This window comes from Homo sapiens, chromosome 19 (genome assembly GCF_000001405.40).
Source record: "Homo sapiens chromosome 19, GRCh38.p14 Primary Assembly".
Lineage (NCBI taxonomy): Eukaryota > Metazoa > Chordata > Mammalia > Primates > Hominidae > Homo > Homo sapiens.
The window spans coordinates 7,863,089-7,887,123 of NC_000019.10; the positions used below are offsets into that span (position 1 = coordinate 7,863,089).

The 24,035-nt window shown below is 56.8% G+C and overlaps 2 protein-coding genes and 2 pseudogenes across 5 annotated transcripts in view, besides 7 other annotated features; 1 reads left to right on the forward strand and 3 right to left on the reverse strand.

The window, feature by feature from the left end:
* The window catches only part of EVI5L (ecotropic viral integration site 5 like), a 34,759-nt gene extending 32,871 nt beyond the window's left edge, over nucleotides 1–1,888 (forward strand). For both annotated transcript variants that reach the window (NM_001159944.3, NM_145245.5), the window contains 2 exons: nucleotides 97–192; nucleotides 336–1,888. In NM_001159944.3, the coding sequence (NP_001153416.1) occupies nucleotides 97–192; nucleotides 336–614 (375 nt within the window). In that variant the 3' untranslated portion in view covers nucleotides 615–1,888. The remainder of the gene's footprint in view (nucleotides 1–96; nucleotides 193–335) is intronic.
* Nucleotides 669–1,377: an enhancer, noted in NCBI's record as "H3K27ac-H3K4me1 hESC enhancer chr19:7928643-7929351 (GRCh37/hg19 assembly coordinates)". NCBI's record gives its function as "activates a minimal SCP1, AML or CMV promoter by ChIP-STARR-seq in naive H9 embryonic stem cells {active_cell/tissue: H9 hESC(naive)}" and the evidence as "EXISTENCE:reporter gene assay evidence [ECO:0000049][PMID:30033119]".
* Nucleotides 3,375–3,669: a silencer, noted in NCBI's record as "tiled region #2174; K562 Repressive non-DNase unmatched - State 7:EnhWF". NCBI's record gives its function as "represses a minimal TATA promoter and a strong SV40 promoter by Sharpr-MPRA in K562 cells {active_cell/tissue: K562}" and the evidence as "EXISTENCE:reporter gene assay evidence [ECO:0000049][PMID:27701403]".
* Nucleotides 5,631–11,302, reverse strand: PRR36 (proline rich 36). 2 transcript variants are annotated; one of them, NR_104345.2, is made up of 7 exons: nucleotides 11,198–11,302; nucleotides 10,331–10,608; nucleotides 10,109–10,211; nucleotides 9,761–9,873; nucleotides 9,217–9,398; nucleotides 6,627–6,829; nucleotides 5,631–6,456 (listed from the first exon to the last, which is right to left on the reverse strand). NR_104345.2 is itself a non-coding variant. In NM_001190467.2 (6 exons), exons 2-6 carry the CDS (start codon nucleotides 10,599–10,601, stop codon nucleotides 5,945–5,947), a joined length of 4,041 nt encoding a protein of 1,346 aa, NP_001177396.1. In that variant the 5' UTR covers nucleotides 10,602–10,608; nucleotides 11,198–11,302; the 3' UTR covers nucleotides 5,631–5,944. The 2 variants fall into 2 exon arrangements, 1 of the variants encoding a protein (NP_001177396.1); NM_001190467.2 differs by having other exon boundaries at nucleotides 6,627–9,668.
* Nucleotides 5,754–6,515: an enhancer, noted in NCBI's record as "H3K4me1 hESC enhancer chr19:7933728-7934489 (GRCh37/hg19 assembly coordinates)". NCBI's record gives its function as "activates a minimal SCP1, AML or CMV promoter by ChIP-STARR-seq in primed H9 embryonic stem cells {active_cell/tissue: H9 hESC(primed)}" and the evidence as "EXISTENCE:reporter gene assay evidence [ECO:0000049][PMID:30033119]".
* Nucleotides 5,754–6,869: a biological region, named in NCBI's record as "H3K4me1 hESC enhancer GRCh37_chr19:7933728-7934489".
* Nucleotides 5,930–6,869: a silencer, noted in NCBI's record as "silent region_9993". NCBI's record gives its function as "represses an Ori minimal core promoter by ATAC-STARR-seq in GM12878 lymphoblastoid cells {active_cell/tissue: GM12878}" and the evidence as "EXISTENCE:reporter gene assay evidence [ECO:0000049][PMID:35858748]".
* Nucleotides 7,015–7,309: an enhancer, noted in NCBI's record as "tiled region #8899; K562 Activating DNase unmatched - State 4:PromP". NCBI's record gives its function as "activates a minimal TATA promoter and a strong SV40 promoter by Sharpr-MPRA in K562 cells {active_cell/tissue: K562}" and the evidence as "EXISTENCE:reporter gene assay evidence [ECO:0000049][PMID:27701403]".
* Nucleotides 10,504–11,020: an enhancer, noted in NCBI's record as "H3K4me1 hESC enhancer chr19:7938477-7938993 (GRCh37/hg19 assembly coordinates)". NCBI's record gives its function as "activates a minimal SCP1, AML or CMV promoter by ChIP-STARR-seq in primed H9 embryonic stem cells {active_cell/tissue: H9 hESC(primed)}" and the evidence as "EXISTENCE:reporter gene assay evidence [ECO:0000049][PMID:30033119]".
* Nucleotides 15,531–17,144, reverse strand: LYPLA2P2 (LYPLA2 pseudogene 2; annotated as a pseudogene). The gene has a single exon (NR_033250.1). The product of NR_033250.1 is annotated as an LYPLA2 pseudogene 2 (transcript).
* RNA5SP463 (RNA, 5S ribosomal pseudogene 463) lies at nucleotides 23,889–24,008 on the reverse strand (annotated as a pseudogene).

A 24,035-nucleotide genomic window follows, 5' to 3' on the forward strand; every position in this document is an offset into this window, starting at 1 on the left:
GGGGGGCGGGGGCGGGGGCAGGGCCCGGGGCAGGAGCGGGGCCGGACCCCAGGCCCAGCATGGCACTGGCCCCGCGTGACCTGGCGCACCCCGCAGAGGGAGGAAGGCCGCATCCAGGGCCAGCTGAACCACTCGGACTCATCGCAGTACATCCGCGAGCTCAAGGACCAGATCGAGGAGCTGAAGGCCGAGGTGAGCCGGCGCGGGGATGCCGGGGACAGGCCTGGGTGTCGTCGGCCTGGGACGAGCCGAGCGCAGGTGCCTTGCGGAGGATGCGGCTGGGAGGGCGGGGCAGAAGGCCGGTCCACGCCTGCAGCGCCGGTCCCCCGCCCCAGGTGCGGCTGCTGAAGGGCCCGCCGCCCTTCGAGGACCCGCTGGCTTTCGATGGGCTGAGCCTGGCGCGGCACTTGGACGAGGACTCGCTGCCGTCGTCGGACGAGGAGCTACTTGGCGTAGGCGTGGGCGCTGCCCTGCAGGACGCATTGTACCCTCTGTCCCCGCGCGATGCGCGCTTCTTCCGCCGTCTGGAGCGGCCGGCCAAGGACAGCGAGGGCAGCTCAGACAGCGACGCCGATGAGCTGGCCGCGCCCTACAGCCAGGGTCTGGACAACTGAGGCCATGCCCAGCGCGCCCGGAGTCAGGAGGCCGCAGCCGCGGGGGGCGCCCGGGCAGTCCGCGTTCTGCTCCCCACCTGCCGCACTTGACAAACTACGCGCCCTCTGTGGCTCGGCCACCCCTAAAGCGAGGCCCGGCGAGGCAGCGCAGAGGGTAGGGTCCGACCTGGGCTCCTCAGGGCCCCGGGGCAGGCTCTCTATCCCCAGCAGTGTTTACCCATCTTGGTCTGTACCCCTCCGGGCCCTCTGGCGTTCCAGGGGTGCCTGGAGGGGCTGACTGCTCTCTTAACAGGAGGGCAGAGGGCAGGGGACAGACGACCCAGAGGTCCCAGCACTGAATGAGCAGGCAGCTCCCACCTCCTGGCAGGCTTCCTTCTGGGACAGGGGCGACATTGCTGGGAAGTGCTCAGGAGGTAGCCGAGGCCTGAGGAAGGAGAGCGCCAGCTCTGGGCTGGACATCAGCACCCCACAACACTCCTCGGGATGAAGTGACCCTTGACTAGCCCCTGGCCATCTCTAGGGGAGTCAGGCCGCTGGGGACAGATGGCCAGGCCGGCCTCTCCTGCCTGGCGCAGGCACCGTGGCCCCTGCAGCGGAAACCAAAGTCCCCCTACTATGTGCGGGGCGCCTGGGGACTGAGTGGCTAACGGGAAGCCTCCCTGCTTCTCTGGGGCCAGAGCAGCTTCCAGGAAGTGAAGAGACCCCTCTCCCCAGTGCCCCACATCTTTCTCTGGGAGACACTCGCGCCCCCTATCCTGGCCAGTGATGGAGGGGTATCTCTACAGGGGTCCTCGGTCTCCATCTACTTCCCTTTCTTCATGTGTTTCCAGCCCCACCCTCAGCCAGAGCCAGGCCCCCAGGCAGGAGCTTCCCAGCGAGCGGCCTCCCCTCACTTCCTCCTGGTGGTCCCGTTGTCTCTGCTGAATCAGAGCTGAGAACGGTGCCAAAATCCAACGATGCCCCCCAGGCCCCTTCCTCCCTTCCCCCGGCCCCCCGGGCCTCATGACCCTGGGGGCTGCCCCCCTCGGTGCTCCCGGAGCCTCCAGTAGAGTAGCGTCACAAGCAATCTCCCTGGCGCTTCCTGGGTGGGGACCCCTGCTCCGTCCCCGCTTCCTAGCTGCCCACTTTTCAGTGTTACGAAGCCTGGGGACCGGGGCAGGCACCCACGGGGCTCTCCACACGCCCCCTACACTGCCCGCCACCATTTTGCACACTGCCTGTTCACATGTCGCCCAGGCGGGAAAAATGGAAAATAAAGTGTATTTACACAGTCACGGACTGGCCTGCGGGCTGGGAGGAGAATCACAAGCAGCGGTGGGTGCCCAGCCCAGGGACCAAAAACCGTGCTGAGGGAAGGTGGGGCTGTCCTTGCCCTTAGGAGCTCCCCACAGTCTCATAGAATGGGGGTGGGAGAGGATAGAAGGGCATTCAGTTTGGGGGCAGGGCATGATTTCCCACCTGGGTGAATCAACTTGGGCCTCCCCTGAAGGAGAGAGGCATGCCGAATCGCTGGGCTTCAGGAAGCACAGGACCCGGTTGCATTCATTCTGCTCACGCCTCCAGGGGTAATGTGGGGTACTCTGCCCTGTGCCTGGCTCTGAGGGGGTCTCCAGTGGAGCAGAGGAGACAGGCACTGGGCAGGGGGAAGCCTGCACTAATGTGGTAGGTGCTCAATAGACAAATGTGCAGGGAGATCAGGGAAGGCTTCCTGGGGGAGGTGGTGTCAGGGCCTCTTCGAGGGGTAAAAGCATAAAGATCAGACCAACAGGAGGCATACCATACCTAGGAAGGAAGAACAGGAAAGCCTGGGCGTGGTCAGACTAAGAAGGGACTGCTTACGTCAGGTGAGGGAGTTTGGGCTTTGAACTGGGGGCCATTGGGAGCCCATGGAGGGCTTAGGTAAGAGAGCCCCATCAGATGGACCACAGAGTCTGTGAGGGGGCCAGTGCAGGGAGGACAGTGAGTAGGGGGCAGAAATAGTCCTTTGTGGGGTTCCCCACAGAGCTGAGGCAGAGTCCCAGCTGCTGGGTGGCGGTGGGTGGCGGGGTGGAGGACAGAGCCAGGAGTGGCAAAGCAAAGCTTCCTAGAGGAACTCAAGGCAGTCGACTCACTGAAACGTCCATCTCCTGGGTTCCAGTGATTCCCCTGCCTCAGCCTCGAGAGTAGCTGAAACTGTAGGCACCTACGACCGTGCCTGGCTAATTTGTTTCGTTTTGTTTTTTGAGAGGGAGTCTCACTCTGTCACCCAGGCTGGAGTGCAGTGGCACGATCTCGGCTAACTGCAACCTCTGCCTGCTGGTTTCAAGTGATTCTCCTGCCTCAGCCTCCTGAGTAGCTGGGACTACCGGCGCCTGCCACCACATCTGGCTAATTTTTTTTTTTTTAGACGGAGTTTCACTCTTGTTGCCCAGGCTGGAGTGCGATGGTGCGATTTTGGCTCACTGCAACCTCTGCCTCCCAGGTTCAAGCAATTCTCCTGCTTCACCCTCCCAAGTAGCTGGGATTACAGACATGTGCCACCACACCTGGCTAATTTTGTATTATTTTTAGTAAAGATGGGGTTTCACCATGTTGGCCAGGATAGTTTTGAACCCCTGACCTCAGGTGATCCACCCGCCTCCCAAAGTGCTGGGATTACAGGCATGAGCCACTGTGCCCGGCCCAATTTTTGTATTTTTTTTTTTAAGTAGAGACTGGGTTTCACCATATTGGCCAGGCTGGTCTCAAACTCCTGACCTCAGGTGATCTGCCCTCCTCGGCCTCCCAAAGTGCTGGGATTACAGGCGGGAGACACGGTGCGCAGCCCCTAGAGGCAGAAACATAATTGGGTTCAGGCAGATGCTAGCCAGGACCTGCCCTCTGCACCCAGTGTGGGTCCACAAAGTGCTCCCTACCCCCATGCCTCACAGCCAAGCAAAGGACATGACACTGCTTGTGTACTGAGACAGCCAAGTCCCATGTACTGTCGTATCACATGCCACAGCTCTCCTGGCCACACATGGTGCAGATGTAACCCTGGGGACCCTCACAGTCACTGTCCGTGCCTCCTGCTTCCATGGTAATTCCACCCCCGCTGGCTGCCCAGGTCAGGGCAGGACCGCAGAGGAATTGTCTGAGGTTCTGCCCTGTCCTTCCCGGCAGCTGGCCTTGAGCCCCAGCTCCCCAGCATGTCAGGAGTCGGCCTTGGGCTTGTCCCAGAGTCTGGAAACAAAGACACCCAGGTCCCCAACCCCACCAGGGCCCAGCTTGAGAGGACACCTCTATGGTTTGCCACAAAACTCTGACCGAAGGACTGTGCTGGCGTCCTCCTCCTCCACCTCCCAGGGGTGCAGGTGGCAGTGCCCCTCCAGGCCAGAGCCCATTTCTCCTCAGACCCCAGGCTAGGAGGTGCCTTGTCTGGGATGGGGACAGGCAGGACTTGCTGGTCTGTGACTGACAGGAACCTGGTCACAGGATGGTGTGAGGGTACTGGGTCCAGGGGCAGAGGCAGGGCTGAGGGCCCAAGGCCAGATCCTACTCTGTCTTCTTACCCACTTGGGGATGTCACCATCATTCTTGGTGCCATGCAGGAGACCCGGGGGAGGAAAGGCCTAGCAGGGGAGCTCTCTGCAGGGGCACTGGGAACAGGGAGAGACTGGCTAGGGTTTGAGAGGCTCCAGAGCTGGGGGTTAGGGTTAGGGTTCATTGGGGGAGGAAGGGCAGGAAACTCTGATTGGAGGGGGCCTGTGAAGATGTTTGGGAATCTGATAAGGACGCCTGAGGAAGGGGTTAGGGCAAGGATGCCATGGGGGTGGGATGCACCAAGTGGCACTTGTGTAAGGACACTTGGAGACAGGGTGCAGTGTGAGGACTCCCCCATCTCCCACCTAGACCTGGGAGAGGCCACTTCTTCCTGCAATCCCCTACCAGGGCAGTTGGCCCGGGACCCTGCACCAGCCGAAGGGCCATGGGAAGGGGTCCCCCATCCTTGCCTCAGTGCCCTCCAATCTTCCCACCTGTTCCCCAGGAGTGCTAGTTCCCCGCATCGAGTTTGAAAAGTGTGTCAGGCCAGGCGCGGTGGCTCACGCCTGTAATCCCAGGACTTTGGGAGGCTGAGGGCAGATCACCTGAGGTCAGGAGTTCAAGACTAGCCTAGCCAACATGGTGAAACCGTGTCTCTACTAAAAATACAAAAATTAGCCGGGTGTGGTGGCGCGCACCTGTAATCCCAGCTACTCGAAAGACTGAGGCAGGAGAATTGCTTGAACCCGGGAGGCAGAGGTTGCAGTGAGCCGAGATAGCACTATTGCACTCCAGCCTGTGCAAAGAGAGCAAAATTCTGTCTCAAAATAATAAAAAAACAGGCCAGGCGCGGTGGCTTATGCCTGTAATCCCAGCGCTTTGGGAGGCCAAGGGGGTTAGATTACGAGGTCAAGAGATCCAGACCACCCTGGCCAACATGGTGAAACCCTGTCTCTACTAAAAATACAAAAATTAGTTGGGCGTGGTGGCATGTGCCTGTAGTCCCAACTACTTGGGAGGCTGAGGCAGGAGAATCGCTTGAACCCGGGAGGTGAAGGTTGCAGTGAGCCGAGATCGCGCCATTGCACTCCAGCCTGGCGACAAAGGGAGACTCCGTCAAAAAAAAAAAAAAAAAAAAAAAAAGAATTAGAATAGAATAGAAAAGGGTTCCAGTCGCTCCTTCACCTCGGCCACGCACTGACTCATCCACTCGGGCGCACAGCCCCTGCCAGGCCCCTCCTGCACCGAACGTTTCCACCAGAAGTCGGATACCAAGAAGCCCAAGTTCACACACGTGGATGGGTGCGCGGCACCAGATGGCCGGGACTCGGCATGGCCCCGCCCTAGCCCCACCTGGCCTGCCCCTTCTCTCCCAGAAGAGGAAAACCGCACTTTATCCAGAGCTCCAACCGGTTCGAGCACAGCCGCCAGCAAGGCCTTATCTGGCCTGGCCCCCCGCGCCGCTCAGCCTGCTGGAGGCCCCCAGCCCCAGTCCTCTCTGTGACAGCGAAGGTGTGCAAGTCCCAGTGTCCCAGTTTTATTGCAAACTCAGGCTGTGCGGGGTGGGCAATACACTGCACACGGGGCGGGACTCGGGGAAACGGGGCGTGTCCTAGGCCAAAGGGGCGGAGCTCGAGGGGCGGGCCTAGGTCAAAGCTGTGGGTAGGTCCCGAGCCTCCGAGGCCAAAGGCTCAGGCTCTAGGGAGCTAAGACTAATCCACCCAGCGGGGCTCCAGGGCAGTGGAGGCGGGGTCTAAAACAAACGGCGTACCCGGAGGGGCGGATCCTAAGGCAGGGGTGGGGTGTAGCAGGCGGGGCTGTGGTCTGGCTCAGTGGAAGGTCTCCACCTCCACCACGGTCCAGTCACCCTGCGGGGAGGCCACGTCGTCCGGAGAGAAGCTGGTGACCGAGGTGATGCTGGCACGGGACTCGTCCAGGGGAGACAGTAGTTCGGCCCAGCGGCCGAGTTCGGCGTCGCTGAGTGCAGCCCGGGCGCCCCCTGTGACGCCACCACCCTCCGCACCTCCTGGGCCCCCGCCGCTGCCGCCCGCGGCACCCTCGGCAGCCGCCAGCAGCAGCGTCCGGCTCAGCAGGTGCTGCACGACGCTCGCCTGCAGCGCCCCCAGTGGCAGCTCGCCCAGGCGCGCCTGCTTCGGGCTCCGCGAGGACGCCCCGGCCCCGGCCCCAGCCGCCGCCTTCCCACCGCTCGTGCCGGGACTGGGCCCCGGATCCAGTGCGCCAGGGGCGGGGGTCGCCGACTCGGGCCCTTCAGTCTCGTAGATGGTGCACAGACCGTCAGCAGAGCCCGGTCCGGTAGCGGGAGGCCACGGCAGGGGCGCACCTGCGGGGAGAGACGCCAGGTGGGCCGTGGGGGTGATAAGCCCCGCCCCTGCCTCAAGGTCCCGCCTCCTTGTCTAAGCTCCGCCCCGGACCCAGCTGTCCCGCCCCTGAGCTGCGAAGCCTCGCCTCCGACCCCGCCCACAGCCAGGCCGGGTCTGGGGTGCCCCTTACCTGGGGCTCCGCGGAAAGCCAGCGGCGGAGCGGGGCCTCGACTCCAGGCAGCCGGGTGGCAAGCGGCGAGCTCTGCGTCGGGGGGCGGGGAGGCTGCGGCACCGCCCTCGGGCCCGCTGTCGTAGCCACGCAGCTCCTCTGGCGTGCTCGTGGCGCTGCTGCTGTGGCCGGCCAGGTCTGGGCCGCTCAGCGTGCTGGACGGGCTGCGCGAGGGCGGCGGCGGCGGGCCGGGGGCCAACGCCAGGGTCAGCCGTGGGCCCGAGACGGAGGTATCCGGACCCGGGGTCGGGGGGCGGCGTGGGGCCTGCAGGGTGGGTGAGGCAGGGGGAGAGGGAGGGACCTGCAGAAGGGGCGCTGCCAGAACAGGTGGGGCCTGTGGAGGAGGCGTGGCCAAAGGAGACATTGGGAGTGAGGCAGAGGGTGAGAAAGGGGCCTGCCCAGGGAATGAGGCAGGCGGAGAGGGAAGGGCCTGCAGAGGAGGTGTGGCCAGAGCAGGTGGGGCCTGTGGAGGGGGCTTAGCCAAAGGAGACATTGGGAGTGAGGCAGGGGGAGAGGGCGGGACCTGCAGAGGAGGAGCGGCAAGAAGGGGTGGGACCCGTGGAGGGGGCGTGGCCGAAGGAGACATTGGGGGAGAGGCAGGGGGAGAGGGTGGGACCTGCAGAGGAGGCGCAGCGAGAGGGGGTGGGGCCTGTGGAGGGGGCGTGGCTGAAGGAGACATTGGGGGAGAGGCAGGGGGAGAGGGTGGGACCTGCAGAGGAGGTGCGGCTAGAGAGGGTGGGGCCTGTGAAGGGGGCGTGGCCGAAGGAGACACTGGGGGTGAGGCAGGGGGAGAGAAAGGGGCCTGCACTGGGGGTGAGGGAGGGGGAGAGAAAGGGGCCTGCAGAAGGTGCACTGCCAGAGCATTTGGGGCCTGTGGAGAGGGTGTGGCCAAAGGAGACAGAGGGGGTGAGGCAGGGGGAGAGGGAGGGGCCTGCAGAGGAGGCAAGGCCAGGGCAGGTGGGGCCTGTGGAGGGGGCGTGGCCAAAGGAGACAGAGGGGGAGAGGGCAGGCCCTGCAAAGGGGGTGAGGCCAGAGCAGGTGGGGCCTGTGGAGGAGGCGTGGCTATGGAAGAGGGCGTCTCCGGAGGGGGCGTGGTCAATGGCGAAGGTGGTGCTTGCAGAGGGCATGGGGCTGGACAAGGTGGAGTCTCCAGATGGGGTGTGGTCAGGGGAGCAGAAGCTGTCTGCAGAGGAGGCGGGGCTAGAGAAGGTAGGTTCTCCAGAGGGGGTGTGGTCAGGGGAGCAGAAGCTGTCTGCAGAGGAGGCGGGGCTAGAGAAGGTAGGTTCTCCAGAGGGGGTGTGGTCAGGGAAGCAGGAGGTGTCTGCAGAGAGGGTGGGGCTAGGGAAGATTGGGTCTCCAGAGGGGGCATGATCAGGGAAGAGAGAGGTGCCTGAGGAGAGTGGGAGGCCAGAGAAGATAGCGCCTGCAGAGGGTGTATGGTCAGGGGTGAGCTTAGGGGTGAGACAGCAGGAGAGAGAGAAGTCTGCAGAGGGGGTGAGGCAGGAAGGGAAAGAGGGGCCTGCAGAGGGGGTGAATCAGGGGGAGTAGAGGCCGGCCGAGAAGGTGAGATCAAAGAAGCTTGGGTTTGCCTAGGGGACATTGTCAGGAAAGAATGTGTGGCCTGCAGAGTGGGTGAGCCCAAAGAAGTTGTGGCCTGCAGAGAGGACAAAGCCAGAGGAGAGGGAGGTGCCTGCAGAGACGGTGAGGTCAGAGAATGTGGGACCTGTATTGGGGGAATGGTCTGGAGAGAGGGCGGGGCCTGCATAGGGGGCGTAGTCATAGAAGGTGGGGCCTGTGGGTGGGGCGGAGCCTGCAGAGGCGGTGAGGCCAAAAGAGAGGGAGAAACTAGAGGAGGATCCTGCAGAGAGACTGTGGTCAAAGGAGAGGGAGAGGCCTGCAGAGGCAATGTGGCCAGAAGAGGAGAGTCCTGCAGAGGAAGAGTGGCCAGAGTGTGGGGCGTGGCCTGGAGAGAGGGCGGAGACGGGGAAGGACTGGCCTGCGGAGGGGGCGTGGTCAGAGCAGAAAGGCCTGGCTGAGGGAGTGCGGCCAGGGGAAAAGCCGAATTCCCCAGAGATGTTGCCGGAGAAACAGGGCCTTGTAGAGGAGACATGGCTGACAGAGGAGGTGTGGCCAAGGGAGAGAGGAGAGTCGGAAGAGAGGGCAACGCTGGATTAGCTTGGGTGGGGGGCATACTCTGCAGAGGGGATGAAACTGATGGAGAGACTGAAGCCACAAAAGCGGCTGTGGCCAGGGAAGAGACGCCTGCTTCTGGAAAGGACATAATCAGCTGTGTGGGTGGAACTTGCGAGGGGGGCGTGGCTGGTGGAGAGGGGAGGGTCTGCAGAGAAGGTGGAGCAGAGGGAGAAGGAGGGGCTAGAGGAAGGGGCGTGGCCAACTGACAGGTAAGGCTCGACGAGTGGGGCGTGGCCGGCAGGGTGGGCGGGGCCTGACTTTGGAGAGCGGCTGGCGGAGGGGGCGTTACCGGTGGAGAGGGAGGGAGCGTGGCTGGCAGGGGAGTGGCTGCATTGTCGGGAGGCGGTACGGGTCTTGCCTTGGTACCCGATGGAGAGGGTGTGGCCAAAGGAGAGGAAGAAAGCGGTCCTAGTGCTGGGGCTGCGTCCTTCCTTGGGGGTGTGACCTGAGGGGGTCGCAGAGCCTGCAGTCCTTTCGGCTTGGGCTGCGAGGGATGCGCAGGAGCCCTGGGTGTTCCGCGGGCTGAGGGCCCAGAACGGGCTGGGGAGGAGAGAGGGGTGGCGCTGGAGCTCAGGGAGCGCGAGGCCGGCCTCTGGAGACCCCCACCGGCGCTGGGCCGCCTCCTGGCAGCCGGGCTTGGCTCGGTGGTACTGTGCTCCGAGGCGCTGCTCACTGATTTCCGGGGGCCCTCTGTCGGGGGCCGTGGCCGGGCACTCGGAGCTGGCCGGGGGAGCCCCACCTCGGTGCCCGCAGCCCGGGACCGACGGGCCATGGCCGGGGACGGGGTTCCTGGGGTAGGCCCGGAAGTGTCTGGAGAAAAAGTAGAAGGCCAAGGGTCACCGATACCTCTGAGGCGGCTCCCCTTGCTGCCCAGGAACCCCACTCTTCTCCAGGTCACGTACCTCTCCGTGCCCCAGCGCTGAGGGCACTCCTTTTGGGAGCCTCTGTAGCTTTTCCTCTGGCCACAGTTTCCTCCGCTGAGATCCGGAGTCCCTTCTGGCCAAGAGGGCCTGGCCTGGAGACAGAAGGGGCCACGCTCAGGCCTAGGTCTTTGTTTGGCTTCCCAAGTCTCTATTTTCCCATCTGTGAAATGGGCATGTGCCCTCTCTGAGGACCAATAATGGCTTTCACCCAATTTGTGCCCAGTGACCTGCAAGTGCTCCCGCGCCCCAACTCGTGTAAAATAAAAGGTTCCAGACTCTGTGACGCTAACCCTGGCTTAGGAGACTGGGGGAGAGGGAGCAGGTTACCTGGTGGTCCCGCTGGCACGCCCTGGGCTAGAAACAGGGCCTGGGCTGGTGTTCTTGGCAGGAGGAGCTCTCTCCCCTCTCCCAGAGGCTGGGGGCCTGGAGGCTGCGGGGAGAAGGCCGAGTCACAGGTGCCCCGGAGAGGTGGCAGTGGAGGTGAGACTGGACAGGTATTGGAAGGGGGAGGGAAGATGGGGGCGGAGCTGAGGAAGGAGGCTGGGGTACCAGGGTTTCGGGAACTTGTCCCAGCACTCCGCGTTGGTCCCGCTCGGGGAGCAGACTCGGGAATAGTGGCCCCGCCGATGCCCCCCGCTCGCTCTGCCAGAGGCTTTCGCCCCACTGCTCCCGCAGCTCCCAGAACTCGGAGGGCTGCGGGAGTTACTGGGGGAGGGGGTCGAGGAGAGCCTGGGGGCCTGGGGGTCAGAAGTCCAGGAGCGCGAGCAGCCGGCGTCCGCGCGGCGGCCCCTGCCTTCGCCTTGTCTCTCTTGTTGTCCATCTTGCACCTGAAGAGACAAACCGGTCCGCATCCCAGGTTCTGGACAGCTACGCCGCCTCCAGAGACCTGGACCCTGCTACCTCACTGCCCTTTCGCAGCATCGCCACCCATGGACACTCAAACCTCGGCCTCGGCTTCCATCCGCTCGGCTCCCACGCACCTACACCCACTCGCCAGCCCCACTGCTCCTCGCTGTCCCCAAGTCCCACCCCCCACCGCTTTTCCCTAAAGCGAAGAGGCCCTGCCCGCCCCAGCCCACCGCCTCCCCCGCCTCGGCTCCAATTCAGGACCGATCTCCACGCCCCTGCCCCTTGCCCCTTCAGGGACTCAGACCGCCAGCCTCGAGAGCGGGGGACTGCCACGGGCTCAGGATGTCGCATCCCTCCAGACCCGGAGCGCACGCCCGGGTCTCCCCGCCAGCCCCCATCGGCCTCCCCTGGCCTCCCCGAGGGATGCCTGCACCTGCCGGGAGGCAGAGCGGCCCCGCTGCCCGCGAACGGGCTCCGGGAGACAAAGAGCCGCGTCCCGGGCCCGACCCCTCCCCCAGCCGGGCCTGGCCCGCGCCCAGCCTCTCCACCTGCTCGCGTCGCGCTCACCTCCGCCTCCGGCCTCCGGCCGCTCCTCACAGAGTCGCCTGGGGTGGGGCCCGGGCCGGAGCGACGCGGTGGCCGCCAGCGGCGAGGAGGCGAGGGGAGGGGGCTGCGGGCTGCGGCGCCGGGGGAGCCGAGCCGGTCCCGCCCCTCGGCCGCGGGCGGGAGAGCCGGGGGCGCGCGCTCGATCCGGACCCGGGAGCGCGGCCGGCGGAAGCGCGCCGAGGGGGATGGGGGAGAAGCGCGCTTTGGAGAGAAGGGTGGCTTCTCTGCGGTCCGGGGGAAGCCTGTTTCCCCAGCTGCGCCTGAGGAACCCAGATAGTCAACGGTTGGGACTGGGGGAGCAAATCCCTGGGGTCCTCCACTGTCCTTCCCAACACATACACCTGCCCCGACCCCCACCACAACCACCTGGCACCAAGGACCGCCTGGACGCGGATAGGCTGGGCCCTGGCAACCAGGAGGCGGGACCACCGCGCCTCTGGCCCACACACCAATCCGGCCGCTCGGTGGCCCTGGCACTATCCAGTCCTTCGCGTCTGCGAAAGCTAGGCCGCCCAGGGTCTCTGGGGGGCAGCCGCCCTCCGCCCCACACCCGAAGGTGTTCCCCAGACGCCAGGAAACCCCTTATCTGGTTGGGGGGTCGAGGGACTGCTAAGAGAATGCTGCCCTGGGAATTTCAGGATGCAAGGTAGACCCCAGATTTTGGGGAAGATAAAGAAAGGAATAGGAGGGAGAGCGACAGGAGACACAGTATATTCTGTGAGAGGTGACCCAGCCGTCTGCAGGGTAGAGCACGCCCACCCTCCACACCCTCCCAGCTAACGGGATGTCAAGTCAGCCCAGACTTCCTGGCAGAGCTGGGCTTCCGGGGGACAAGGTTCTGTCGACCTAGCAGGTGTCAAAACAAGTGCATAAGGCCGGGCGCGGTGGCTCACACCTGTAATCCCACTGCTTTGGGAGGCTGAGGCGGGCGGATCACTTGAGCTCAGGAGTTCGAGACCAGTCTGGCCAACATGGCGAAACCCTGTCTCTACCAAAAAATACAAAAATTAGCCGGGCATGCTGGCGAGCACCTGTAATCCCAGCTACTCGAGAGGCTGAGGCAGGAGAATCGCTTGAACCCGGGAGGCGGAGGTTACAGTGAGCCGAGATTGCGCCACTGCACTTCAGCCTGGGCGACAGAGTGAGACTCTGTCTCAAAAACAAAAACAAACAAAAAAACAAAAACACAAGTTCATGAAGGACGCAGAAGATCCTTTACAAGGGTCCCAGCCCAGCCGGAGCGAGTGGGAGGTGTCCTGTTGCTGACTTCAGCCAGGGCAGGGGCCTCGGTGGAGAGCGGTGCTCCAGGACTGTGGCATGAAGAGGGTGGGAGCCTGAGGGTGGAAATGGCCATTCCTCAGCTCCCTCTCCTTATAAGAAGAGTCTGGGCCGGGCATGGTGGCTCAGGCCTGTAATCCCAGTACTTTGGGAGGCCGAGGTGGGCGGATCACAAAGTCAGGAGATCGAGACCATCCTGGCTAACACGGTGAAACCTTGTCTCTACTAAAAATACAAAAAATTAAACGGGCGTGGTGGTGGGCGCCTGTAGTCCCAGCTACTCGGGAGGCTGAGTATGGCCTGAGTATGGCTGAGAATGGCGTGAACCCAGGAGGCAGAGCTTGCAGTGAGCCGAAATCGTGCCACTGTATTCCAGCCTGGGCGACAGTGCAAGACTCTGTCACACATGCACAAAAAAAGAGTCTGGCCTTGTCACCTCTGTCGGCCAAGTCCCCTCCTCATATGGCCTCCATGAGCTTTCCGCCTGGATGTCGCATCCCTCCAGACTTACAGCCACTTTTTACCCCATTCCAGGAAACCAGCGCCCTGTGCCCCACTGCTAACCCCATCGCAAGCTCATATGCACAGTTCACTCCCTCCTGGAAATCAGGGGGCCTCCATGCACAGGAAACAGATAATGCAACTTGGCATCGGGTGAACTGGGGTTGGGGGGTAGGGACGTTGCGCCCATTTGAGGTTGCAGAAATGGAAGGCAGAGAAAAATGACAGAGCTGAATGCCATGCTTTGACCTCCAGATTGGATCATCCTAGGCCTTATCTTCTCCCTCAGTCTAGCAATGATCACCCGTGTGAACCCCTTGTGGCATGACACCAGCCTGGTTCCCTGTCTACCCACCCACACCCAGTGCCTCCTTCCAAATCACATCCACCAACACAGATCCCTGCCCTCCTATTTATTTATTTTTGAGACAGGATCTCACTCTGTCACCCAGGCTGAAGTGCAGTGGCACGATCATCACAGCTTCACAGCTCACTGCAGCCTCGACCTCCCAGGCTCCAGTGATCCTCCCACCTCAGCCTCCCAAGTAGCTGGGACTATCAGCCGAGGCGGGTGGATAATTTGAAGACAAGAGTTCAAGACCAGCCTAGTCAACAGGGTGAAACTCTGTCTCTACTAAAAATACAAAAAAATTAGCTGGGTGTGGTGCCTATAGTCCCAGCTACTTGGAAGGCTGAGGCGCGAGAATCGCTTGAACCCAGGAGGCGGAAGTTGCAGTGAGCCGAGATCATGCCACTGCACTCCAGCCTGGGTGACAGAGAGACTCCATCTCAAAATAATAAAAAATAAAAAATAAAAATAAAAAACAAAACCCAGATCACTTGAGGTCAGGAGTTCGAGACCAGCCTGGCCAACATGGTGAAACCTCATCTCTACTAAAAATACACAAATTAGCCGGGCATGGTGGCCATGCACCTGTAATCCCAACTACTCGGGAGGCTGAGGTAGGAGAATCGCTTGAACCTGGGAGGCAGAGGGTGCAGTGAGCCGAGATCACGCCATTGCATTCCAGCCTGGGCGACAGAGCAAGACTCCATCTCAAAAAAACAAACAAAAACAAAAACAACAACAAAAAAACAAGTAGCTGGGACTAAAGCCTACCCCACCATATCAGGCTAATTTTTAAATTTTTTGTAGAAACAGAGTCTCGCTGTTACCCAGGCTGGTCTTGAACTCCTGGGCTCAAGTGATTCTCCCACCTCAGCCTCCAAAACTGCTGGGATTACAGGCAGGAGCCACCTCACTCAGCTTCACCTGCCTTCTGACTATGATGCAAGGGTTCCTCCAGGGTACACAAAACCCACCCTGTAATTAATTGGGATCTGGACTCTGCCCTCTTATAAAAACACTCCCAAAACCTCCATCAACAAGAGGGATGAGTAACATGAATCAAAGTGTCCCCTACAATGGAATGAAACTTGGCAACAGAAAGGAACAGACTATGCTACTCTCAAAACAGGGACTAATCTCAAAAGCACACCGAACAAAAGAAGCTACAAAAAACACGCACTGTATGATTCCATTTATAGAACATTCCAGAAAATGCGACTAATCTGTAGTTACAGACAGCACATCAGTGGTTGCTTGGAACAGGTGGGGGAGGGACATTGAATGAACTGCCCAGCGTAGCCACTCTTAGGCATGTGACTCTCAGGTGAGGGCCAGGCGACTGTAGTCCCAGCTACTGGGGAGGCTAAGACAGGAGGATCCCCTTGAGGCCGGGAGTTTGAGGCCAGCTAGGGAAATATAAGGAGACCCCGTCTCTAAAAGAAAAATAAATAAATCACAAATATATATGTATATGTGTGTGTGTATATATATACATATATACATATATATACATATATACATATATACGTATATACGCATATATACATATATACATATATACGTATATACGCATATATACATATATACATATATACGTATATACGCATATATACATATATACATATATACGTATATACGCATATATACATATATACATATATACGTGTATACGCATATATACATATATACATATATACGTGTATACGCATATATACATATATACGTGTATACGCATATATACATATATATACATATATACATATATATATATATTTTTTTTTTGAGACAGAGTCTCACTCTGTCACCCAGGCTGGAGTGCAATGGCGTGATCTTGGCCCTAATTTTTAATTAATTAATTTATTTTTGAGGCGGAGTTTCACTCTTGTTGCCCAGGCTGGAGTGCAATGGTGCGATATCAGCTCACCGCAACCTCTGCCTCCCAGGTTCAAGCGATTCTCCTGCCTCAGCCTCCTGAGTAGCTGGGATTACAGGCATGCGCCACCATGCCCGGCTAATTTTGTAGTTTTAGTAGGGATGGGGTTTCTCCATGTTGGTCAGGATGGTCTCGAACTCCTGACTTCAGGTGATCCACCCACCTCGGCCTCCCAAAGTGCTGGGATTACAGGCGTGAGCCACTGCACCTGGGCATATATATATATATATATATTTTTTTTTTTTTTTGAGGAAGCAATTTCTTTAATTTTATCAGAATCCAGGACACAACAAGAAAAGCACCCAAAAACCACATGGAGACAGAAGATGAGACACAACTCCTCCCCCACCCCTTCCCTGCTCTAGAGTGGGGACAAAGTCAGAGTGAGACAGCTTGGGGGAGACCTGAACCTCAGTCCAGCCCTACAGGCTCCAGGCCTGCAGGGAAGGAGGGTAATGGGGAGGCAGGGCCCAGCCCCCCAGTTTGGGGAAACAGCTGAGGGAAGGCCCCCCTCAAAAGGCTCCACCTCCTCACCAGCACTCCTGCCCAGGGACAGGGAGCCCACAGCAGCAAGGGGACCTCAGGGCCATGGCCACCTTCATGACTGAGAAGTAGCTGAGTGGAGGCAGGAGACACACGATTATCTGGGCAGAATCAGTTAGAGCAGGGGCCTGGAAGGGCCCCATGGGCCAAACCCTGAGGTCACAGGAGGGGCCCCAAAGCGGGGCTAGTGAGTGAGGTCCTGAGTGAGTGGGTCAGCAGCTGGGCCCCTTTCTCTAGCTTCCTGTAGCCCCTCCAATACTGCTGCCAGGGAGGCCTGCCTCCAGGGAAATGGGATAAGAAAGCAGCCTGCCCCTGCTGCAGACAGAGCCAGGTGGCTGAGGCCAGGAAGGAAAGCCCGGCCAGGCCTTGCCACCTGCCCCAGAGGCCTGTGGGAAAAGGACAGGCCAGGAAGGGTGGGGACAGGGGCTCGACTGGCTCAGATCCAAGATGGTGCCACGCTTGCTTGCTGAGTCCCCCATGAGCTGGGGCACCGCACTGGGGCCAGCGACTAGTTAGACAGAAGGCAGCAACTTCTCCAAGAAATTCCTTCACAGCTGCCATCTCCTGAGGACAGCAGCTGTGCATGACACCCGAGTATGTCTTGAACTGGACCCTGGCAGGTGTGACAACAGCCGTCAGGGTCCCAAACCGTACGGGCACCATGGGGTCCAGCTCCCCATGGCACTGGAGGATGGTCAGGCCCTTGCCACTGCCTTTAGCTGCCTGGGGGAAGGCCCGGTGCAGAGGCAGCCAGCAGCTCGATGCTACGATACCAGCCAGCGGGTGGGGGCAGGTGAGGGCCGTGTAGAGGGACAGGGCCCCGCCCTGTGAAAAGCCTCCCAGGACGATTCGATTGGCAGGGATCCCGTTCTTCATTTCATGCTCAATCAAGGCCTTGATGTTCTCTGCTGCCTTCTTGATGCCAGCCTCGTCCTCTGGGGCATCTGGACTCAGCCCCATCAGGTCAAATCAGGAAGGTGTCACCATCTTCATGTTGAGAGTCACAGGGATCCTAGGCACATGGGGACAGATGGAATTGACGTGAGGGAGCCGGACGGTGGAGAGGGCGTCAGCCCAGCTGTGCCCTGTGTCTCCAAGTCCATATAAAAAACTAACCGCGGCTGTTTCCCGCTCAGCTCCAGACACCGCGGCAGCATCAGTGAGAGGGGCGTAGACGTGGTGTTACCACACATACACCACATGGCTCCACGGCGGGAGCCTCCACTCCCTGGGGCTTCCGAGGCCGCTTGGGCGATTCTCCTCTTTCTCCCGCAGACACACACTCTTCCCCCTCGGCCACCCCCACTCCATATATATATATGTATATATAAATATATTATATATATAAATATAAAAAAATATATAAATATATTATATATAAATATAAAATATACATATAAATATATTATCTATAAATATAATATATATAAATATATTATCTATAAATATAAAATATATATAAATATATTATCTATAAATATAAAATATATATAAATATATTTATATATATATAATATATTATATATATATAATATATTATATATATATAAATATATTATATATATAAATATAAAATATATATAAATATATTATATATATAAATATAAAATATATATAAATATATTATATATAAATATAAAATATATATAAATATATTATATATAAATATAAAATATATATAAATATATTATATATAAATATAAAATATATATAAATATATATAAATATAAAATATATATAAATATACATATATTTTTTTTTTGAGACTGAGTCTCGCTCTATCACCCAGTCTGGAGTGCAGTGGCGCGATCTCGGCTCACTGCAAGCTGCTTCCCAGGTTCACGCCATTCTCCTGCCTCAGCCTCCTGAGTAGCTGGGACTACAGGCGCCCGCCACCATGCCCGGCTAATTTTTTGTATTTTTAGTAGAGATGGGGTTTCACCGTTTTAGCCAGGATGGTCTCGATCTCCTGACCTTGTGACCCACCCACCTCAGCCTCCCAAAGTGCTGGGATTACAGGCGTGAGCCACCGCGCCCAGCTATATATATATTTTAAACAGTGAGGGGCTGTTTTGTTTTGTTTTGTTTTTTGGTTTTGTTTGTTCGTTTGTTTGTTTGGATGGAGTCCTGCTCTGTTGCCCAGGCTGGAGTGCAGTGGTTTGATCTCAGCTCACTGCAACCTCCACCTCCTGGGTTCAAGTGATTCTCCTGCCTCAGCCTCCTGAGTAGCTGGGATTACAGGTGCCCACCATCACGCCCGGCTAATTTTTTGTATTTTTAGTAGAGACAAGTTTTCACCCTGTTGGCCAGGCTGGTCTTGAACTCCTGACCTCACGTAATCCACCCGCCTCAGCCTCCCAAAGTGTTGGTATTACAGGCGTGAGCCACCGCGCCCAGCCCCTAATTTTGTATTTTTAGTAGAGACGGGGTTTCGCCATGTTGGCCAGGCTGGTCTTGAACTCCTGGCCTCAAGTGATCCACCCACCTTGACCTCCCAAAGTGCTGGGATTACAGGCGTGAGCCACTGCAGCCCAGCCAATACATACTTTTTTAAAGCTAGTAAATTTTTGGGTAATTTGTTACAAAGTAATAGCTAACTCACATTCCAAAATCTTAGAAGCTGGATAGTAAATAACAAGTACTGAGGGGCGATGTGGAGAAATTGGAACACAGGTGTCCTGTTGATGGGAATGTAAACTGGTACAGCTAAACCCAGTGCAGTAGCTCATGCTTGTAATCCCAGCACTTAGGGAGGCTGAGGCAGGCCGATCACTTGAGCTCAGGAGTTCAAGACCAGCCTGGCCAACATGACAAAACCCCGTCTCTACTAAAAATAGAAAAATTAGCTAGGCGTGGTGGTGCATGCCTGTAATCCCAGCTACTTGGGAGGCTGAGGCAGGAGAATCACTTGAACCCGGGAGGCGGAGGTTGCAATGAGCCGAGATCACACCACTGCACTCCAGCCAGGGCGACAGAGTAAGATTCCATCTCAAAAAAAAAAAAAAGAAAGAAAGAAAAGAAAGAAATATTTGTACCCTCGTGTTCATAGCAGTAGTATTCGCAAGAACCAAAAGGTGGAAGCAACCCCCAAGTGTCCACCAGCAGAGGGGTAAATAGATAAAATGTGGTTCATCCATGCAATGGAATATTATGCAGCCCTGAAAAGGCAGAAAATTCTGATGCATGCTGTGACATCGATGAACCATGAGGACATCATGCTCAGGGGAATAAGCCAGACACAAAAGGACAAATCCTGTGTGATTCCACTTGTAGGAGGTCCCTAGAGGAGTCAGATTCATGGGAGACAGAAAGTAGAATGGTGGGTGCCAGCAGCTATGGGAGGGAGGTGGGGAGTTAGTGTTTCATGGGGACAGAGTTTCAATTTGAGAAGATGAGAAAGTTCGGGAGATGGATGTTGGTGATGGTTGTACAACCATGTGAATATGCTTAATGCCACGGAGGTGCACACTTAGAAATGGTTACAATGGCTGGGCACAGTGGCTCATGCGTGTAATCCCAGCACTTTGGGAGGCTAAGGCCAGAGGATCGTCCGAGACCAGAAGTTCAGGACCAGCCTGGGCAATATATCAAGACCCCGTCTCTACAAAAAAAAAAAAAAAATCTAAAAAATAGCTGGGTGCGGTGGCACACACCTGTAGTCCCAGCTACTTGGGAGGCTGAAGTGGGGAGGATCACCTGAGCCCAAGGGTTCGAGGCTACAGTGAGCTATGATGAAACCATTGCACACCAGTCTGGGTGACAGAGCAAGACCTCATCTCCAAAATTAAAAAAAAATTAAACTGGCCAATTTTATATTATATTGGACCAAAATTTAAATTTTTTTCTTTTTTCCTTTTAATTTCAGGAGAAACCTTAAAAGCCAATTGAAAAAATATGTCTTCTTTCTTAGAGACGATGCCTCACTCTGTTGCTCAGGAAGGAGTACAATGGTGCAATAGTAGCTCACTGTAGCCTCAACTTCCTGGGCTTAAGCATTTCTCCCACCTCAGTCTCCCAAATAGCTGGAACCACAGGCATGCGCCACTGTGCCCGGCTACTTTTTTTTTTTTTTTTTTTTTTGTAGAGACGGGGTCTCAGGTCTCACTGTTGCCCAGGCTGGTCTCAAACCCCTGGGCTCAAGCGATCCTCCTGCCTCAGCCTCCCAAAGTGCTGGGATTACACGCATGAGCCACCGTGACTGACCCATATTTTTTTTAAGCTAGATATTATCATGTGGAAAGACTCACACAGTAGCAATGGGAATGTAAAGTGGGCAGCCTTTCTGATAAATAATTGGAAAGGATTGAGTATTGGTGTGCTATGACTCAGCCATCCCACTCAGCATCTATACCTGCAGCAGGTGCATCTATACCTGCGGCAGGTGCATCTATACCTGCGGCAGGTGCATCTATATCTACAGCAGGTACCATACCACCCTGTCTATATCCCTGAGCACTCACAGTCCCTGTGGGCAGGGAACTCAGAAGTGCCAGAGAGTTAACACCTCTCCACCTCCCTTCTCTGGAGCAACCCTTAGGCAGGGACAGACAGGAGCTGGTGGAGAAATACTTCAATTTCCTCGACCCTGTAATCCCAGCTACTCAGGAGGCTGAGGCAGGAGAATGGCTTGAACCCGGGAGGCGGAGGTTGCAGTGAGCTAACACCACTGCACTCCAGCCTGGGCAACAGAGCTAGACTCTGTCTCAAAAAATAAAATAAAAAAGATGCTAGGCCGGGCGCGGTGGCTCACACCTGTAATCCCAGCACTTTGGGAGGCCGAGGCAGGCGGATCACCTGAGGTCAGGAGTTTGAGACCAGCCCGGCCAACATGGCAAAACCCCATCTCTACTAAAAATACAAAAATTAGCCAGGTGTGGTGGCACGTGCCTGTAATCCCAGCTACTCAGCAGGCTGGGAGACTCACTTGAACCCAGTGAGGTTGCAGTGAGCTGAGATTGCACCACTGCACTTCAGCCTGGGAGACAGAGTGAGACTCCATCTCTCAAAAAAAAAAAAAAAAAAGCTTATTTCAGCATGTGGTTGCAAACATCCCCAGGGCACAGATCCCAAGAAACCTCTCAGAAGACAGGAAGTAGGCCAGGCATGGTGCCTCATGCCTGTAACCCCAGCACTTTGGGAGGCCAAGACGGTAGGATCTGCTTGGGCCCAGGAGTTTCAGACCAGCCTGGGCAACATAGTAAGACTCTGTCTCTATAAAATAAATAAATAAATAAATAAATAAATAATTCAGCAGATGTGGTGGTGCATGCCTGTGGACCTAGCTACTTGGGAGGGAGGGTGAGGCAGGAGGATCACCTGAGCCCAGGAGTTCAAGGCTGCAGTGAGCTAGGATCATGCCACTGCATGCCAGCCTGGGCAACAGAGGGAGAAAAAAAAGAAGAATGAAGAAGGAGGAGGAGGAAAGGAGAAGGAGAAGAAGGAGGAGGAGAACAGAAAGTGGAGGAGGAGAAGGAGGGGAAAGAGGGAGGAGGAGGAGGGGCAAAGAAAAAGGAAAGGAAAGAAAGAAAAGAAAGGAAGGAAGGAAGGAAGGAGAGAGGAGGGGGAGGAGGAGGGGGAGGAGAAGGAAGGCAAGGAGGAGGAGAGGGAGGAGGAGGGGGAGGGGGAGGAGGGGGAGGAGGAAGATGGGAGGGGGAGGGGGAGGAGAGGGAGGAGGAAGATGGGGAGGGGGAGGGGAGGAAGGGGGAGGAGAGGGAGGAGGAAGATGGGGAGGGGGAGAGGAGGAGGGGGGAGGAGAGGGAGGAGGAAGATGGGGAGGGGGAGGGGAGGAGGGGGAGGGGGAGGGGGAGGAGGAGGAGGAGAAGGCGAAGGCGAAGGCCTAGTGCAGTGACTCACACCTGTAATCACAACACTTTGGGAGGCTGAGGCAGGAGTTCAACACCAGCCTGGCCAGCATGGCAAAACCCTGTCTCTACTAAAAATACAAAAATTAGCCAGGCACAGTGGTGGGCGCCTGTAATCCCAGCCACTCTGGAGGCTGAGTTAGGAAAATTGCTTGAACCCAGGAGGCGAAGGTTGCAGTGAGCCCAGATCGTGCCATTGCACTGCAGCCTGGGCAAGGACTCCATCTCAAAAAAATAAAGAAAGAAAAAGAAGGCCAGGTGCGATGGCTCACGCCTGTAATCCCAGCACTTTGGGAGGCCGAGACAGGCAGATCACCTGAGGTCGGGAGTTCGAGACCAGCCTGACCAACGTGGAGAAACTCCATCTCTACCAAAAATACAAAATTAGCCGAGTGGTGGCGCATGCCTGTAATCCCAGCTACTCGGGAGGCTGAGGCTGGGAATTGCTTGAACCCCGGAGGCGGAGGTTGCGGTGAGCAGCGATCACGCCATTGCACTCCGGCCTGGGCAACAACAGCAAAACTCCATGAAACAAAGAAGGAAAGAAAGAAGAAAGGAAGGAAGGAAAGAAGGAAGGAAGGAAGGAAGGAAGACAGGAAGAGTCACTCCAAAGGAGAGACAACCTTTCTCACAGGTCCCTTCCTCAAAGCGGTCTTCAAGGAACCCCTTGTCCCTTGCTACCGCTTCACCTTGCTTTGTTATATATACAACATTTGTCACAAACTGGCATTACCTTGTTCTTCCGTTTGTCTTTTGTTTTGTTTTGTTTTTAAAAGCCAGGTTCTGAGCTGCCACCCAGGCTGGAGTGCAGTGGTGCAATCATGGCTCACTGTAGCCTCCAACTCCCAGGCTCAAGTGATCCTCCTGTCTCAGCCTCTCAAGTAGCTGGGACCACAGGTGCACACCATCACACCCAGCTCATTTTTATTTACTTATTTATTTATTTTTGAGACGGAGTCTCACTCTGTTGCCCAGGCTGGAGTGCAGTGGTGCAATCTCGGCTCACCACAACCTCCGCCTCCTGGGTTCAATCGATTCTCCTCCCTCAGCCTCCCGAGTAGCTGGGATTACAGGTGCGTGCCACTACGCCTGACTAATTCTTCTATCATTTTTATTTATTTTTTGTAGAGATGGGATCTCACTATGTTGCTCAGGCTGATCTCAGACTCCTGGGCTCAAGCGATCCACCCACCTTGGTCAGCCTCCTAAACTGCTGGGATTTAAGGCGTGAGCCACCCCACCTGGTCTCCTTTATTAGTTTACTTAGTGTATCTCTCCCACCCACTAGGACAGAAGCTCTCAGAGAGTAGAGAGCCTTGCTGGTCTTGTCCTGCAAGGAAGCTGCAGATGCCGACAGACAACAGGTGCTCTTAAAGCTCTACTAAATCCAAAAGGAAGTTTTGTCTTTGGACTCCCTGTGGCGGTGCCCAGAAGGTCCCTGACTTACAAGTTTCCAACCCTAGAGGTTTCCAGTCGCAGGCCCAGACCTGGTCAATGTCAGGGCTTTTTTTTTTTTCTTTTTTCTTTTGAGACGGAGTTTTGCTCTTGTTGCCCAGGCTGGAGGGCAGTGGCACGATCTCGGCTCACGGCAACATCCGCCTCCTGGGTTCAAGCGATTCTCCTGCCTCAGCCTCCCAAGTAGCTGGGATTACAGGCTTGTGCCACCACACCCAGCTAATGTTTTGTATTTTTAGTAGAGATGGGGTTTCACCATGTTGGCCAGGCTGGACTCGAACTCCTGACCTCAGGTGAATCACCCGAGTCGGCCTCCCAAAGTGCTGAGATTCTAGGCATGAGCCACCGCGCCCGGCCAAGTCAAGGCTTCTTTTACCCTGTCAGGGAGAACTCTCCGTCTCCCATCCTAAGTCCAGGTAGGAACATTTCCATGGATGGTTTGGTTTTGTTTTGTTTTGTTTTGAGATGGAATCCTGTTCTGTCGCCCAGGCTGGAGTGGGGTGGTGCAATCTCAGTTCACTGTAACCTCCACCTCCCAGGCTCAAGCGATTCTCTTGTCTCAGCCTCCCAAGTAGCACAAGCCACCACACCCAGCTAATTTTTGTATTTTTAGTAGAGACAGGGTTTCACCATGTTGGCCAGGCTGGTCTCAAACGCCTGACCTCAGGTGATCCACCCTCCTCAGCCTCCGAAAGTGCTAGATTACAGGTGTAAGCCACTGTGACCAGCCCAAGCCTACAGCACCCGGTATTCCTAGGTGGTCTCCCATCCAAGTACTAACCAGGTCCGACACTGCTTAGCTTGCGAGGTGAGACGAGGATCAGATGCTTTTAGGGTGGTATGGCCATAGATACATCCAAGGTTTTTCTTTTCTTTTCT

Excerpts from the sequence above, each read along its gene's own strand:
- PRR36 (NM_001190467.2), bottom strand. The coding sequence starts at position 10,601 with ATGGACAACAAGAGAGACAAGGCGAAGGCAGGGGCCGCCGCGCGGACG. Across the intron at positions 10,212-10,330 it reads GACAAGTTCCCGAAACCCTG|CCTCCAGGCCCCCAGCCTCT; the intron begins GTACCCCAGCCT and ends TTCTCCCCGCAG. Across the intron at positions 9,669-9,760 it reads CAGCGCTGGGGCACGGAGAG|ACACTTCCGGGCCTACCCCA; the intron begins GTACGTGACCTG and ends CTTTTTCTCCAG.